Below are 16,765 nucleotides of genomic sequence, written 5' to 3' on the forward strand. Positions count from 1 at the left end.
GAGTTCATTGTAGATTCTGGATATTAGCCCTTTGTCAGATGAGTAGGTTGCAAAAATTTTCTCCCATTTTGTAGGCTGCCTGTTCACTCTGATGGTAGTTTCTTTTGCTGTGCAGAAGCTCTTTAGTTTAATTAGATCCCATTTGTCAATTTTGGCTTTGGTTGCCATTGCTTTTGGTGTTTTAGACATGAAGTCCTTGCCCATGCCTATGTCCTGAATGGTAATGCCTAGGTTTTCTTCTAGGGTTTTTATGGTTTTAGGTCTAACATTTAAGTCTTTAATCCATCTTGAATTGATTTTTGTATAAGGTGTAAGGAAGGGATCCAGTTTCAGCTTTCTACATATGGCTAGCCAGTTTTCCCAGCACCATTTATTAAATAGGGAATCCTTTCCCCATTGCTTGTTTTTCTCAGGTTTGTCAAAGATCAGATAGTTGTAGATATGCGGCGTTATTTCTGAGGGCTCTGTTCTGTTCCATTGATCTATATCTCTGTTTTGGTACCAGTACCATACTATTTTGGTTACTGTAGCCTTGTAGTATAGTTTGAAGTCAGGTAGTGTGATGCCTCCAGCTTTGTTCTTTTGACTTAGGATTGCCTTGGCGATGTGGGCTCTTTTTTGGTTCCATATGAACTTTAAAGTAGTTTTTTCCAATTCTGTGAAGAAAGTCATTGGTAGCTTGATGGGGATGGCATTGAATCTGTAAATTACCTTGAGCAGTATGGCCATTTTCATGATATTGATTCTTCCTACCCATGAGCATGGAATGTTCTTCCATTTGTTTGTATCCTCTTTTATTTCCTTGAGCAGTGGTTTGTAGTTCTCCTTGAAGAGGTCCTTCACATCCCTTGTAAGTTGGATTCCCAGGTATTTTATTCTCTTTGAAGCAATTGTGAATGGGAGTTCACTCATGATTTGGCTCTCTGTTTGTCTGTTGTTGGTGTATAAGAATGCTTGTGATTTTTGTACATTGATTTTGTATCCTGAGACTTTGCTGAAGTTGCTTATCAGCTTAAGGAGATTTTGGGCTGAGACAATGGGGTTTTCTAAATATACAATCATGTCGTCTGCAAACAGGGACAATTTGACTTCCTCTTTTCCTAATTGAATACCCTTTATTTCCTTCTCCTGCCTAATTGCCCTGGCCAGAACTTCCAACACTATGTTGAATAGGAGTGGTGAGAGAGGGCATCCCTGTCTTGTGCCCGTTTTCAAAGGGAATGCTTCCAGTTTTTGCCCATTCAGTATGATATTGGCTGTGGGTTTGTCATAGATAGCTCTTATTATTTTGAGATGTGTTCCATCAATACCTAATTTATTGAGAGTTTTTAGCATGAAGCGTTGTTGAATTTTGTCAAAGGCCTTTTCTGCATCTATTGAGATAATCATGTGGTTTTTGTCTTTGGTTCTGTTTATATGCTGGATTACATTTATTGATTTGCGTATATTGAACCAGCCTTGCATCCCAGGGATGAAGCCCACTTGATCATGGTGGATAAGCTTTTTGATGTGCTGCTGGATTTGGTTTGCCAGTATTTTATTGAGGATTTTTGCATCAATGTTCATCAAGGATATTGGTCTAAAATTCTCTTTTTTGCTTGTGTCTCTGCAAGACTAATAAAGAAAAAAAGAGAGAAGAATCAAATAGACGCAATAAAAAATGATAAAGGGGATATCACCACCGATCCCACAGAAATACAAACTACCATCAGAGAATACTACAAGCACCTCTACGCAAATAAACTAGAAAATCTAGAAGAAATGGATCAATTCCTCAACACATACACTCTCCCAAGACTAAACCAGGAAGAAGTTGAATCTCTGAATAGACCAATAACAGGAGCTGAAATTGTGGCAATAATCAATAGCTTACCAACAAAAAAGAGTCCAGGACCAGATGGATTCACAGCCAAATTCTACCAGAGGTACAAGGAGGAACTGGTACCATTCCTTCTGAAACTATTCCAATCAATAGAAAAAGAGGGAATCCTCCCTAACTCATTTTATGAGGCCAGCCTCATCCTGATACCTGCATTGCTCTTTCTGCCTGCCCCTCACCTGTGTACTCCTGGGGGTCCAGGGTGGGGGCTGCTGCTACACTCAAAGCCCACCTCCTGCTGTCTCCTCAGCCTGCACGGCCCATCCTGCCCACTTCCTCCTGGTGACAGCCTCCTCCCTCCCAAGGAGGCTTCTGAAGCTCCCTGCTCCTAGCACACGGGGATGCTCCTGTGGTGACCTTCTCGTCTTTCTCCTCCTGGGGGCAGGGGCACCAGCCAGGGCCAATTTGCATATCTGGGAAGGGTGAAATGGTTGAGTGAGAAGGCATCACCGTTGGAGGGCGGTTTGAGTAACTAGGACGACTCCAGTGAGCTTCAAGGGCCTGGACAGCTTAGCCGGCCAGGCAAAAGCAGAGGGGCTGGGGTGTGGGGGATCAGAAGGAAAGGCCCGAGCAAAGCCACAGAGACAAGCGGGTGTAGAATGAGTGCCAGGAGCCAAGGATGGTTCTCGATTTTTCTTTCTTTCTGAGATGGGGTCTTACTATGTTGCCCAGGCTGGACTCAACCTTCCAGGCTCGAACAATCCTCCCACCTCAGCCTCCAGAGCAGCTGGGACTCTAGGCATGCACCATGGTGCCCGGCCAAGGGTGGCTCTGCTGGGCTGGGGAAGGGGAAGGCCGGCTGGGAGGCTGGTCAGCCAGGTGAGCACAGCCAGGCACATGGATCCTGAGGGCGATCGAAAGCCCCCAAGTGTTCTTGCAGGCCTGGGACTGGGCCTCCGGCTTCAGAAGGTAAAGAGGCACTCTTGACTCTATGGTTGCACAAATGCCTGAGTTTTTGGCACGACTCCAGAAAAATTGCTCTGGTGCTGGTGGAGAAGGAGCCAAGCCTGGAGCTGGGGAGACAGGCAGTGTCGGAAGCCACTGCTAGGATCCGGGGGCAAGGACTAATGTGGATGCAAGAAGGGGATGGGGGTCATCCATGGGTTTGGGGTGGTGTGGACAAGGGGTGGTGGAGGTGAGAAAGACCCTGGGCTCTGGCTTGGGCATGGTGAGAACAGAGGGTCCGCCCACAGAGAGAGGCCCTGGGAGGATCCACACACAGATATGGTGCTTAGGAGAGGGGGCGAGACGGAGGCAGGGACAAAACCCTCGGCCTGTGCATGTCACCCAGATACCACTCAGGGCATGTCCGTGATAGGAGAGGACCACCGCAGACCGGGCCCTGAGGAGAGGCAGTGACAAACCATCCAGAGAAGAAGGCTTTGCAGGGAGACTAGGACTCCACGGAGAGGGAAGGGGCTCTCTGAGATGGGGGTGGCAGTTCCCAGGAGCAGGGAGCAGCCGCCTGCTCCCCAGGGCACCAGAAACGTGGGGCCGGCAAGCGCCTATCTGCCTGTGTTAATCGCGTTTCTTATCTTCTGTATTTTGTGATGCTTTGACATCCTGGGGCCTTGCTAATCCTGGAGAGACTGCTCCTCCCATGGCTGGCTAATTCCTAGAGCCAGCAAGCAACGTGACTACCAACACGCCTTTCATGTACATTCCAACCACTCCAGAGCCTGTGTCCCCAACCGCCTCCTTCATCTGACTCTCACACCCCAAACCAATATTTTCACTGCCCTAAATCACCCCAGGGCCAGGTGCCAGGCAACTAGAGACCATCCCTGTAGACCAGAGCCTGCCAAAATTATTCAAACTGCCCAGTCCTACGCTCACTGTGACTTGTCTGCACTCTGGGGCACCCTCTCCACTCACTCCTGCTGCCTCCTGACCGACCCTGGTGCCTCCCCGGGTGGCCCTGCATGGCGTGGTGTGCCCCTCTTTTCTTGGGAGCTGTAATAAACTCTTCTTTCAATGACATTGGCCTCTCTGTATCATCACCTGGTTACCTCCATAAATTAAACCCCAGGTGCCATCATGAAATAGTACCCAATGCACTCCCTCCTGGGGGTTTAAGCATCTGCCTCTTCCTAATGTGGTTCTCACGGAAGCACAGCCCAGAACCCTCCAGCCGGGCGAGCACTTTAACAAACGCAACCACACAGATGACAACCCCCAGAATACATGCTGCTGGCCCCAGCCTCCCCTGTGCCTGTCCTCCCACACCCTGCTGGGAGCCCAGACACTTACTGACTCCTGTTTTTTTTTTTTTTTTTCCTGAGACTTTTGGCCCCAGGATAATGAAGAAATCTATTTACAGTAGCAATATTCAGTCTGGTGCCTTCTGGAACAAATTAGCCGCAGGAGAATATCTGAGTGGTTTTTTCTGTTTGGAAAGCAGCGCCGCCGATGTGGGAGCGAGTCCTTGGAGGGCCATTTCTGATGTTCGGGGTCCCGGATCCACCGCACGAGGCCCTCCTTAGCAGGTCCCACTCCCTGCACCCAGAGGCGGTGGCGGCCTTGGCTTAACAAGCTCCGTGCCGTAGTTGGCCACAGAGCCGGTGGTGACCCTGAGGTCGCGGGTGCCCAGCCTGAGAGAGCCGGCTTTCGGGTCCCTTTAATTGTGTCCCTTCAAACACTCCAGTTCTGAAAGCAAGTTATTTATATCTGCTCCTCAAGGCGGGCCTAGCAAGAGGCTGAGCTGGTGGCCAGCCTCGGCCTCTCTCTGCGGCTGGCGGTTTGAGCAGAGTTGGGTTTTGAGAACAAAACAAAAGTTTCTTCATTTCAGATGTTCACTAATTCAAACTGGCCCTGGGCCCATGGGTGGTGCATTTCTGAGGACTTTGTCTGCGACCGGGCTCCCTGCCCCCTCCCAGGGCCTCCCCTTTCATGCGTTGTGGGGTTTGGGGAGCAGCGGCCTTCTCCTGCCTCCGTGGACAAGCGTGTAATGACAGAGCCACATCTGTGCTGACTCACTGTGCAAACATCTTCCACTGGCCTCACTGCCCCTCCCGGCCTGGCCTCCAGGCCCCCCTGGGGTTCCTAGACTCAGGCCACGCTTGTGCATCACTAGGCCCGGGACTCAGCGTTCTTAGACGGGGGTCCCAGGGTGCCCCACGTAGACAGCGCCATGGCCAGCGAACAGGGCAGGCGCTGAGCCAGCTGGCTGCATGGCTCCGGAAGCCTCCCGGATGATCTAAAGTCCAACCTGAGTGGCCCTGCAGCCTGCTGGAGCCGGGGTTCTCCTGAAAGCAAAGGGTCACCTTGTGTCTGTGCTCAGACCTGGGAGAGGCTGGGCTGGGTGGACGCCACGTTCAAGTGAAGTCACACCCCATCCTCCTCCTCTGTTGTTCTCCCCGATGCCCCTGGAACTTTGGACCACCCAGAGGGAGGAATAGCGACCACCGCGAGAAAGCGCTGAAGGGCAAGGTGGGCAGGTGGGGGACTCAGCACTGGGAGGGCAGGTGCTGCAGGGGACTGGGGTCCCACTGCTCTCATCCCTGCAGCCCCATAGACCCCCCATCCATCCCCTCTTCTCCACCCCACGGATCTCCCTGGTCAGGAGGTCCCACCCCCACTCTCTCATTCCATTCTTTACCCTGCAGCCAGCAGAGATTACAAGGCTGAGCTATACCTGGACCTACCTTCGACCCCCACTGGCCACGCTGACCCCCACAACCCTGCCCCGGCCATACTGATCTCCTCATGGGCTTTCCCTCCACCTGGAGAAGCCTCTCCTGACAGCCCCCACCCCCATCTAGGCTGCTCTACCCTTCCCAGCTGAACTGAACTCGGCTGGGTTCTGCCAGCTCAGCCCTTGGGGCCTCATGTCACAGCTCACCCCTCCCTGCGTCACCTGGCCGCCCCTTCTTGCCATGCACCGCCCTTTGGGGACCTTGTCATTTACTCCCTGCAAGCCCGTGTTTCCCTGTGCTGACCTCGGGACCCGTTGTCCTTGCTCGATGCCTGCGGTCCCTGCTGAGCTGAGGCTCCATCCTCCACCTGCGCCTGGAGCGCCTGGGCGCAGCCAGGCCGGGTGACGGCACGGCCAGAAGTCATTACAATCACCTGCCCTCCTCTCTCTCTTCCCAGCCCTTCTTGTTTCTCTTCTCTTTTTCTTTGTCTCTTTCTTTCTCTTTTTTGGCTGGTTTCCCTAATGTTTAGCACGGAATGTAACATAAAATGTGCTCCATTCATATTTGTTGAGTGACTGAATCAATACGGGGGCCTCGAGCACCTTTGAGGACTCAGCCTTGCATGCAGGAATCATCTCCGAAGTGCCAGGTGCACGCTATGCCCTGGGCCATGCCCGCTCTGCCTCTCTAAGGTCTCCCGAGGTAGCCCCGGGTCTGTGTGGGAAGCGCTGGCCTGGGCAGGGTCTGCTCTGCATTTTGCCTTCTGAGGTCACCCCAAGGCCAAATGCTGGCTTTACGGTGATGTCTTGTGGGGTGCTGGGGTTAGGTATCAGTTGGGAACCTTCTCTCTGTCTTTCGGGGCTGGTGGCTGACTTGATGTCCCCTGCCACACCTCCGCTGGGGCTGCCAGGCAGTGAGGCTGTGTTCCCCGGGCAGCCCAGTGCAGGGCTGGCCACAGAGCCACTACTTCATCTTCCACAGGGACTGAGAAAGGCCTCGCCTGTCCTGGAAAGTGGTGGCTGCAGGGCCTCATCTGCTGGACGTTTGAGGGTCCCATGAGGGGATGGGAAGAAGGCCGGGGCTTGGAGGAAGCCAGAGAAGTGCCTTCCCTGGTCTGAATCCTCCAACAGCCCAGAGACTCCGCCCCAGGGAGTCCCAAGGAGCACTCCTCAGGGAGGAGCAATGGCTGGCCCAGCTCAGGGGTGCTCCTTGCAGGAGTCCAGGGCCCCACTCTGCCCCCAGCAGCACCTGCCCCAGGATGGCAGTCCCAGTGGAGCAGTCCTCAGGGGTCTGCTCCTCCCCACCCAACACTGTGCAGGCAGAGGTGGTGCAGTGTGAGCCTCTTACCAGCTGGCCCTCTGTGGCCTCCTGTCCTGCCCTCTTCCAGCCACTTCACCCTCTGGGGGCTGCATGCTGGGTCCTGGAACCCTCTAGGTGCCCTGCCAATGGCCCGGCCTGCACTGCTCCCCTCCCAAGCACCAGCCCCCACGCACCTCCCACTCACCTGAGGTCCCACTCTACTCAGCCCGTGGACTGAGTGTCCCTCCCCATGCCGAAGCCTCATCCCCTGTGAGATGGCGTTTGCAGGAGAGGCCTCAGGGAAATGACTAGGGCAGATGAGGACATGAGGGTGGGGTGCTTGCACCAGGATCGGTGCCCTGGGAAGAAGACACCAGGGTGTCTGCTCCTCCCTCTGGCCCCGAGAGGACACAGCGGCAGTGAGATCCTGCCAATGGGAAGTGGCCTCATGGGCGCTGGGTCGGCCAACCCCCAAGCTGCTAGTGCCTGAGTTCCCAGAACAGTGAGAAATCCATATCTGTGACTTGGGCCACCCACTCTGGAAATTGGCTATGGCAGCCTGTGCCGACTGGGCTCTTATCACCCTGAGCCTGGCTGAAATGCCCTCTGCCTGAAGCCTCCCCTTGCCCCAGCTGTTGGGGCCCCTTGTCCTGCACCTGGGGTCACCACCTGCCTGGGAATGGATGACTCGTCTCGCCCTGTCATGGAGGCCCCCAGGAGAGGTGGGGTCTGTTCTACCCACTGCTGCACCGCGTCCTTAGTTGGCCTGCTGCTGGTCTCCCGGGGGGCAGACCGTGCGGGGACTTCTGGGGGTGGACTTCAGTGAGAGCGCCTGAGAGTTGCCCCTGGCACCAAGGACAATATCAAGCCAAGGCACTGCCCACCTGGGGCAGACCTGAGTTCACAGCCCGGCATGGCTGGTCACCAGCCACGTTGTTTATCCTCTCTGGGGTTCTGTTCCATCATCCATAAACCACAGGCCACACTAGGACCTACCTGACCAGGGGCTTGCTCCTGGAGCTAGGGCTTCCATCTTCTCCTGGCCTTCACCTTGGTGCTCCTGGTTCTCCAGCCTTCAGGCTTGGGCTGAATTAAACACCAGGGGCTCTCCTGGTTCTGCAGCTTGTAGACCGCAGACTGTGAGACTTCTTGGTCTCCATCATAAATCTCCTCATATATATGTCTATGTATGTACATATACACACATATACTCATATATACACACATATATACTCATATACACACTTATACTCATATATACACACACATATATGCTCATATATACACACATATTATACTCATAGACACATGTATATACTCATATACACACATATATACTCACTTATACTTGCACATGTATATACTCATATACACATGCTCATGTATATATACTCATATATACAAGTGCACACATATACCCACATATACACACATATACACTCATATATACATGCACATATATACTTATATACACATGCACACATATATACTCATATATGCACACACATTTATATACTCACATATGCACACATATATACTCATATATATACACGTGTATGGTATATATACTCATATATATATACACATATACTCACATATATATGCACACCCATATACACTCATATACACGTACACATATATATATTCATATATACACATCCACACATATATACTTATATATACACATGCACATATATACTCACATATACATGTGCACATACATACACCACATACATGCACACATATATACTCATATATACACATGTACATATACTGATATACACATCCACATGTATATATACTTATACACACACACATACTTACATACACATACACATACACTCATATATACACACATATATACTCATATATACACACACTCATATATACACACACATATACTCATATACACATCCACATATACTCATTTATACATGCACACATATATACTCATATACATGTACACATATATACTCATATATACATGCACACACATATACTGATATATTCATGTACACATACTCATATATACACACACTCGTACATGCACACATATATACTCATATATACACACACATATACTCATATATACATGCACACATATATATTCATTCATACACACACATACTCATATATACACACACATATACTGATATATACATGCACACATATATACTCATATATACATGCACACGCATATATTCGTATATACACACACTATATATACACACGTACTCATATATACATGCACATATATGTATACACATATCTAGACACATGTATGTTTATTCATATACACACATCATACTCATATATACACACGTATACTCATATACACACATACTAATATATGTAAACACAGGTGCTCATATATATACACACATACACACATATATATATACACTCATATACATATATATGAGAAGAGCCTACTGGAGATACGTATACACACCTAATACACCTCCAATTCCGTAAGCTAATTCCTTGTGAAGTCTTTATATCTGCCGCTGGTGGTTTCTCTGTTGAATCCTGACCCATACAGGGCTTCATGAGGAGATGGGATGAATCACCAAGCTCACACTCCATCCAGCAAGTGCTGCTGAGCCAGCCCCTGTACTCATCACACGTGGCAGGTGGCACGAGGCTCCAGGTGGCCCCGCTGAGTGACATCAGATGTGCACAGTCACCACTTACCCGCTGCGTGCCTATGAAGCACTGTGCGGTTTCGGCACCCCAGCCCCAGCTCTCAGCAGACACAGGCCGGGGCCCAGGACCTGGCGTGCCTGGTGTTTGAGTGTTTTCACTGTGGACTCGCCTCAGAGCCTCGGTTTTGTCCACCTGTAAACTGAGGACAGCAAGGTCTACCTGACGGGCCAGCAGAGAGGGTACAATCAGTTTCTGAACCTAGGAGGCACCAGACACACCATGGGTGGGCAAGTGTCTTCTTTCTCCAGGGCTCCGGGTTCTATGCCTGGGCCGCAGTGTCTGTCTTCACCGGTTTAGGATTCTAACGCTTCCCCTGTACGTTAACGGAGGCCCCACAAGCAGGGTGAAAACCCCAAATGCAGGGCCGCAAAGTGACCAGGGTATGTTAGACTCAGGGTCACTGTGGACGGCTGTGCAGGTTGTGTACTGCACAACTCCAGGGATCTGTCCACACCGTGTGACTTGTATCCTCTAGAGTCATGCAGTGACAGCCTGCTTCTCTTAAGCAGTGCTCTGCCGAGCCTTCCTACCCTGTCCATCCAGGAGCACGGGGGAGCCAAGGATGGACCCACTGTGCTTCCCACTCAAGGACGTGTTGTCTCAGCCTCAGTGGCTGCAAGAGAGCTGCACTCTTATTCCACAACCCTTTGTCCTCTCCCTAGTCAGCTTTCTCCCCAGACGGCCAAGATTTACAGAGAAAAATTCTAGACTAAGAATCAGGAAACTGGATACAATCAGAGCCTTGTGGAAGTCATTCCTTGTGTGTGCCTCAGTTTCCTTATCTGTAAAATAAGGGGCAGACTGCACTCTCATCTGTGGTCTCTCCTGCTAAAGCTCCATGTTCTGTGATCTTTGGGGTGTCCAGGTTGTGCCGTCCCCCCTCTTTCAGGCAGGTCCTGGCCCCTTAGCCACCCACATGCTTGGTCCCTCTCTGGGAGCAGATCCTGCAGGTGGCTCTGCCTGCCTTTGGATAGGGGAGCCTTGGCCCTTTTCTCTGTTCCTCACCGTGCAGGGGAGGAGAACCTGCAACGTATGAATTTGTGCTTTCCTGTAAAAGCTGGACTGCTTTTCCCTCTTTTTCCTTCCATCATCAAACTTTACTGCCTTGAAAATCTGTTCAGTAAAACTGAGAGCAAGAGGCACGTCTGTTTCTCTAGTCTCTAATCTCCTTGGTTCCAGCCTTCTCCACGCCCGCCCCTGGGACCCGTGCACATCCCTAGGCCCCCAGTCCGCGTCTGGCTCTGACAAATGGCTGATCAGGAAAAGCCGCGTTCGGCGGTGGAAGCTGTCGCCAGGCCCTGGCTCGGCCCTAAGCTGCAGAGGGACACACATACTTTTTGTGTATCTGGTGCCAAAGATGGTTCCCACAGAACAGGAAGGCCGTGTGCTGTGGGATCCAGGGCAGGGACCCTCGGTGGATCACAGCCCATGCGGGGAGCCAGCGACCCACCGTGTGTGCCCACCGGGCAGGCACTTGAGGCCAATGCAGAAAACATGAGGCCCTGGAAGGGGAAGCTGAGGCTGCTCCATCTGCTGGCGCCCCAGCCGTTCCAGCAGGCCTGTGACTGTCATCAGCCCACTGGGCTCCACGGACTCCGCCAGCTTGTTTACCGGCCTCCTGGACAAGGAGAGACCTTGGCGGCCTCTGTGAGGCTCATTTTCCATGAGCAGGGAAGTCTCTGGACTCCAAGGGATTTAGAGCTGTGAGGGGCACCCAGCGTGCGGTCCCAGGGGTCTGAGGAATCTATTCCAGGGTCGGGGTGAGCCCGGGGTGTCGTTTGCTCTGCCCTGTCCCCATGAGAGGGAGGGCGTCCTTCTTTCCTAAAACAGCAAAAACGTGTGGGTTGTTCAGGCATCACACATGCGGCTGCTGGGCTCCAAGCAACATTATGTGGTGTTGTCTGGACCGGAAGACGGAGGGAGAGAGAGAGAAGAGAGACACATAGAGACACACACGGAGACAGAGAGAAGAAAGAGGCACAGAGAGAGACACACAGAGACAGAGAGACACAGAGACACAGAGAGACACAGAGACAGACACACAGAGACACAGAGAAGACACACACAGAGAGACACAGAGACTGAGAGACACAGAGATACATAGAGACAGAGAGAAGAGAGAGACACACAGAGAGACACAGAGACAGAGGCACACACAGAGACAGAGAGACAGACACACACAGAGACAAAGACATACAGGGACAGAGAGAAGAGAGGGACACATAGAGACAAACAGAGACAGAGAAGAAAGAGACACAGAGACAGACACAGAGACACACAGAGAGACAGAGGCAGAGAGACAAACACACAGAGACAGAGAGAAGAGAAAGACACACAGAGAGACACAGAGATGGAGAGACGGAGACACACAGAGACAGAGAGAAGAGACACAGAGACAGAGAGACACAGAGACAGAGAAGAGAGAGACACACAGAGAGACATAGAGAAAGAGAAACACAGAGAGACACAGAGACAGAGAAAAGAGAGAGACACACAGAAAGACACAGAGACAGAGACACACACAGAGACAGACAGACATATAGAGACAGAGACACACACAGAGACAGAGAGAAGAGAGAGACAGAGAGAGACACACAGAGACAGAGACACACCCACAGGGACAGAGAGAAGAGAGAGACACACAGAGACACACACAGAGACAGAGAGAAGAGACAGACACACACAGAGACAGACACACAGAAAAAGAGAGACATACAGAGACAGAGAAAAGAGAGACACATAGAGAGACACACAGAGACAGAGAGACACACAGAGACAGAGAGGAGAGAGAGATACCCACACAGACAGCAAGACATATAGAGATGGAGAGAAGATAGAGACACAGAGACAGACATACAGAGACAGATACTGAGAGAGACACAGACAGACAGACACACACAGACAGAAGAGACACACAGAGAGAGGAGAGAGAGGAGACAGAGACACAGAGGGAGAGACAGAGAGAAAAGAGAAGGAGGAGAGAAGCAGGGAATGAGAGAAGAGAGACAGGGTGAAAGGGGATGAGGCAGGAAGGAAGAGGGAGGGAGAGAGAGAAAGAGAAGAGAAGGAGATGGAAGAAAAGAGAGAGAATATAAAGATAAAATCCCAGCTGCCCTGGACGGGGTGGGCTGGGGATTCCACGCCCCATTCCATGGGGCTTTGCACTTGAAACCAGACTCTCCCACCTGAGTTCTGTTGCATCTGGAGCTTCAGATAAAACAAGATCACTTCTTAAGGATCACAAGGACCTGGGGATTTAGAAAATTGGATGATCCCACTTTTGCCAGGTTGCAACATTCTTCCTTTTCAAAGGAGTGTCCGTGAGTGATCTCCAGAGTAAGGTCCCCAACCTACATCAAGTAAAGGGAAATGAGAAGAAAAAATTCACACGGGCCGGGCGTGGTGGTGCCTGTCTGCAGTCCCAGCTGCTGGGGAGGCCAAGGAGGATCGCTTGAGCCCAGGAGTTCAAGACCAGCCTGGACAACATAGCGAGACCCAGTCTATAAAAAACAAAAAAAAAAAAAAGAAAAAGAAAAAAAGAAACCCACACGGGCAATGGAGAAGTAAACAGGATCATGGTCCCTGTTCTGCTGGCCAGGCCAGGCCAGGCCGTATTCTCAGCTGTCCCTCCCTGAAGCTCCTCCTTTGGGTGCACACGCTGCCCCTGAGCCACTTCAAGGAGTATCACTTCCTACTCTACCTGGTGGCCTGGAGCAGAAAGAGCCCCATCACCCGCCCTCTGGCTTTTCCAGCTTCCCATAGTTAACTGTCAGCGACCATGGAGCGCCCAGGGCAGAGTCCCCAGGCCCTGCATTTGCTGCTGTTTGCGTACACCGGGGTGTGCTGCTGGCTGTGGGGTCAGGGTCTCCTTGTCCCCCATGTGGACCCTGGGAGGGAATGAGCTGTCATTCCTACTTCTCACCAGTGCCCACCTCCCTCAGCTTCTGGGCAGGGGGCAGCACCTCCTCCCTCCTTGAAGTGGAGCATGGTCATTTGACTTGCTCCTGCAAATGAAGCCACCATTTTACTTCTGAGCAGAGGCACTGAGAGAAGTCCTCTGTTCCCACGGCCATGGACGATATTCCCAGGGGGTGGAGGCTCCAGCAGCCAGGACCACAGAGTGAAGGTGTCCAGAGGTACAGGACAGGCCCCTGACCCTCAAGGTACAAGGAGCAAGAAATACTTCCTTCTTGTTTTAAACCATGTAGATGCCAGGGGATGCTTGTTTCCCAGCATAACCATGCCTGAGCTAGCAGATACAGGAAGGAAGTATTATCTCCCTAAAGAAATGAGTGAAGTGACAACTGAAGGCCACAAACCCACTTCGTGACAGGACAGAGTTGGAGTCCAGGTTTTCAGGCCCAGGCAGGACCCTGGATCCTATGGAGAAACTTGGCTGAGCTGCACTCATTTCTTATGGGAAACACGAAAACCTCATTCTTAGGGTTCACGTCCTCCTGAGAGGGAGAGAAAGTTCATTTACAAAGGAGCAGAATCAGCTTGGTCCCAAGATCTCTCTGCAGCATGAAATGAAATGCCACTGGAGCAACAACACTCCAGCACACACTGAAGGATAGAGAACGTGACTCTAAATTCCATGCCCAGCGAGCTGCCTGCAGTGGGTGATGGCCGCAGAAGGGCGTGCTCTCAGCGGCAGCACACCCTTCTGGAAAAATATCCCTGAGGGGTGCACTCCAGCTGTGCCAGAGAGCAAGATGTGAAGACTTGCAAAAGGAGGCCATGGGGTGAGAGGTGGTGGTGATGAATGACTTCCATGTGAAGTCTTGCAAATTTGCTTATAAAGTGGAAAAATGCATATATGTCCTCAGCAGGTCACGTGGGAGGAGAGCCTAATGGTGGACATTTCTAGAGTCGATGCAGGTCCTGTGGTTTATGCTGTTTAATGCTCTGGGACCTGGGGTGGAGGGGGGACTCCTTTGCTCTGTTGGGCCTCAATTTCTCTGTTTATAAAAAAAAAGTGGCCTTTGGTCTCTCTAAGTTCTCTGTCGCCAGATGACTGGGGGGTCCTTCCACTATTTGGTAATAAGACTCCCCCCCCACCAACTCCCAGCTCCTGGTGTCTCACCAACATTCTGGATGTTTGGGGTGATGGTAAAAGGGTTTGTGTGCCTGCTGAGGAACAGTTTTATTCTGGGGACTTGGGGACACTCGTAGAAATTGTTTGAGGCCCCTTAGAGAATTGTAGAACCAGGATGCAGAGGCTGTGTTTGTGGTTTGAGCTGGTCAACTGGAGGAATCCAGGTTTCTGGGAACGTTGACCAGTGACTAAGTCCCATCCTTAGCTTGATGGCCCCCACCCCCACCCTGTCCCCAGATAGTGCCTATGGGGAAGCCTCGGGAAGGAACACTGCCCTTCCCCCTGCCCCGACACCACATCTGGGATGAGCCCCAAACCTCAGTTGGCTTTGATGCTGCAACTTTTTCCAAACCCTGAGCATGATTCACAGCCCAGACCGGCAGTGGAATTTCTGCAAACAGAGCCGGGGGCTCCGTCTGCGCTCTTGAGAGGTCCGCAGCTCCCACCTTCGGAATGGCCCGAGAAAGAGACTGGGAACGCGCGAGCCACATTCTTCCTGGATGAAACACTGGCCTTATCAGGAGGAAGTAATGACAAATGGCCTGAGCAGCTCCCAGCCAGGGGGCTGGCTCTTCTTAAATTTGCTTAGATGGATTTTCTTTGATGAGCCCAGCAATTATGGGAACCCGCAGGCCTGCTCAAGGCCTGCATCATTGCCATTTCCTGACAAAGACTGGATCATCCGTCCTTCCCATCACCGCCCCTTTCTTCTTGGAGGAAAAGCCTGCTGGTGTGGTGCGAGGATGGCGGGTGTTCCACCCTGCCCTGGGCCACCAACACCACGGCCAGGGCGGCCCCCCTGCAAGCACCGAGGGGGTCAGCTCCGTGTTCTGGCAGAGCCAGGAGAGAAACGAGGAACTCTTGTCTGGTTAATTGCTATGTGTATATATGACGATAAAGGCATGTCGGCCGGGCGCGGTGGCTCATGCCTGTGATTCCAGCACTTTGGGAGGCCGAGGCGGGCGGATCACAAGGTCAGAGATGGAGACCATCCTGGCCAACATGATGAAACCCCGTCTCTACTAAAAACAATACAAAAAATTAGCCGGGTGTGGTGGCGGGCGCCTGTAGTCCCAGCTACTAGGGAGGCTGAGGCAGGAGAATGGCGTGAACCCAGGAGGTGGAGCTTGCAGTGAGCCGAGACCACGCCACTGCACTCCAGCCTGGGCGACAGACTGAGACTCTGTTTCAAAAAAAAAAAAAAAAAAAAAAAAAAAGACATGTCGTGTTATCTGGTGCCTTTCACCTGGCAGGCAGGGCATCGTGGGCCAGCGCAAGGGCACCACACTCTGGCCCAGAGCACAGCGAGGCTACAGAGAAGCAGTGGCCTCCTCGGGCCTCCAGCGCCCAGGGAACAACAAGGCCACCATTGTAAAGGGTACAGAAGGTCAACTTTCCAAGTCTAGGCACAGAGGGCCACAGGGAGAGAGACCCAGAAGGGATGAGATGGGGGGAATGTCCTTGTGGGAATGTGAGTGTGGCTGGGATTCTGCTGAGCGCACAAAGGCAGACACAACGCAGTGGACTTGAACGGGCATCCCCCAGTGATAAAAGCCGTTGTCCCCCAAGTGATGTTCCTTGAGGTTAGACGGAGCCAGCCTCATGTTATAGGCCTGATATAGACCTGGGGCACAGTGGACACTGGATGGGTGTTTGAATGCATGAAGAAGTAAAAAGAAGAAAAAAGGAAAGAAAGAGAAAAAAAGAAAGAATGAAAGAAAGAAAAGAAGGAAGGAAGGAGAGAGAAAGGAAGGAAGGAAGGAAAGAAAGAAAAAAAGAAAGAGAGAGAGAAAGAAACAAAGGTAGGGAGGGAGGGAGGGAGGGGAAAGAACGGAAAAGGGAGGGAAAAATAAGAAGGGAAAGGGAGGGGAAGAAAAGAAGGTGGGGGAGAATTTTCACTGGCAATGTGGTTCCCTCTCTCTCCTTCTCCATAGCTCCCTCCCCTCATGGCCTTCTTGGTGTTCCCAAGCTCCCACTCTGGGTCCCGGAGCCTTAGAAGGTTTGAGCTGTGCTGATACTCATTCTGGATACACACCGAGTGGAAGCGATTCTCACTGGAAATTAGGAGGAACAATTGCCCAGCACGTCACAGCTTGCAGAGCCTCTTCGACTATCAGCATTTTATTAGGGCGCCCCTCAAACAGCCCT

General features: G+C 51.6%; 4 annotated features.

Moving 5' to 3' along the window:
* Positions 2,041-2,572: an enhancer, noted in NCBI's record as "H3K4me1 hESC enhancer chr9:137481596-137482127 (GRCh37/hg19 assembly coordinates)". NCBI's record gives its function as "activates a minimal SCP1, AML or CMV promoter by ChIP-STARR-seq in naive H9 embryonic stem cells {active_cell/tissue: H9 hESC(naive)}" and the evidence as "EXISTENCE:reporter gene assay evidence [ECO:0000049][PMID:30033119]".
* Positions 7,112-7,613: an enhancer, noted in NCBI's record as "H3K4me1 hESC enhancer chr9:137486667-137487168 (GRCh37/hg19 assembly coordinates)". NCBI's record gives its function as "activates a minimal SCP1, AML or CMV promoter by ChIP-STARR-seq in naive H9 embryonic stem cells {active_cell/tissue: H9 hESC(naive)}" and the evidence as "EXISTENCE:reporter gene assay evidence [ECO:0000049][PMID:30033119]".
* Positions 14,600-15,512: an enhancer, noted in NCBI's record as "H3K27ac-H3K4me1 hESC enhancer chr9:137494155-137495067 (GRCh37/hg19 assembly coordinates)". NCBI's record gives its function as "activates a minimal SCP1, AML or CMV promoter by ChIP-STARR-seq in naive H9 embryonic stem cells {active_cell/tissue: H9 hESC(naive)}" and the evidence as "EXISTENCE:reporter gene assay evidence [ECO:0000049][PMID:30033119]".
* Positions 15,513-16,424: an enhancer, noted in NCBI's record as "H3K27ac-H3K4me1 hESC enhancer chr9:137495068-137495979 (GRCh37/hg19 assembly coordinates)". NCBI's record gives its function as "activates a minimal SCP1, AML or CMV promoter by ChIP-STARR-seq in naive H9 embryonic stem cells {active_cell/tissue: H9 hESC(naive)}" and the evidence as "EXISTENCE:reporter gene assay evidence [ECO:0000049][PMID:30033119]".

The sequence above is a fragment of the Homo sapiens genome, chromosome 9 (genome assembly GCF_000001405.40).
Source record: "Homo sapiens chromosome 9, GRCh38.p14 Primary Assembly".
NCBI classification, from domain to species: domain Eukaryota; kingdom Metazoa; phylum Chordata; class Mammalia; order Primates; family Hominidae; genus Homo; species Homo sapiens.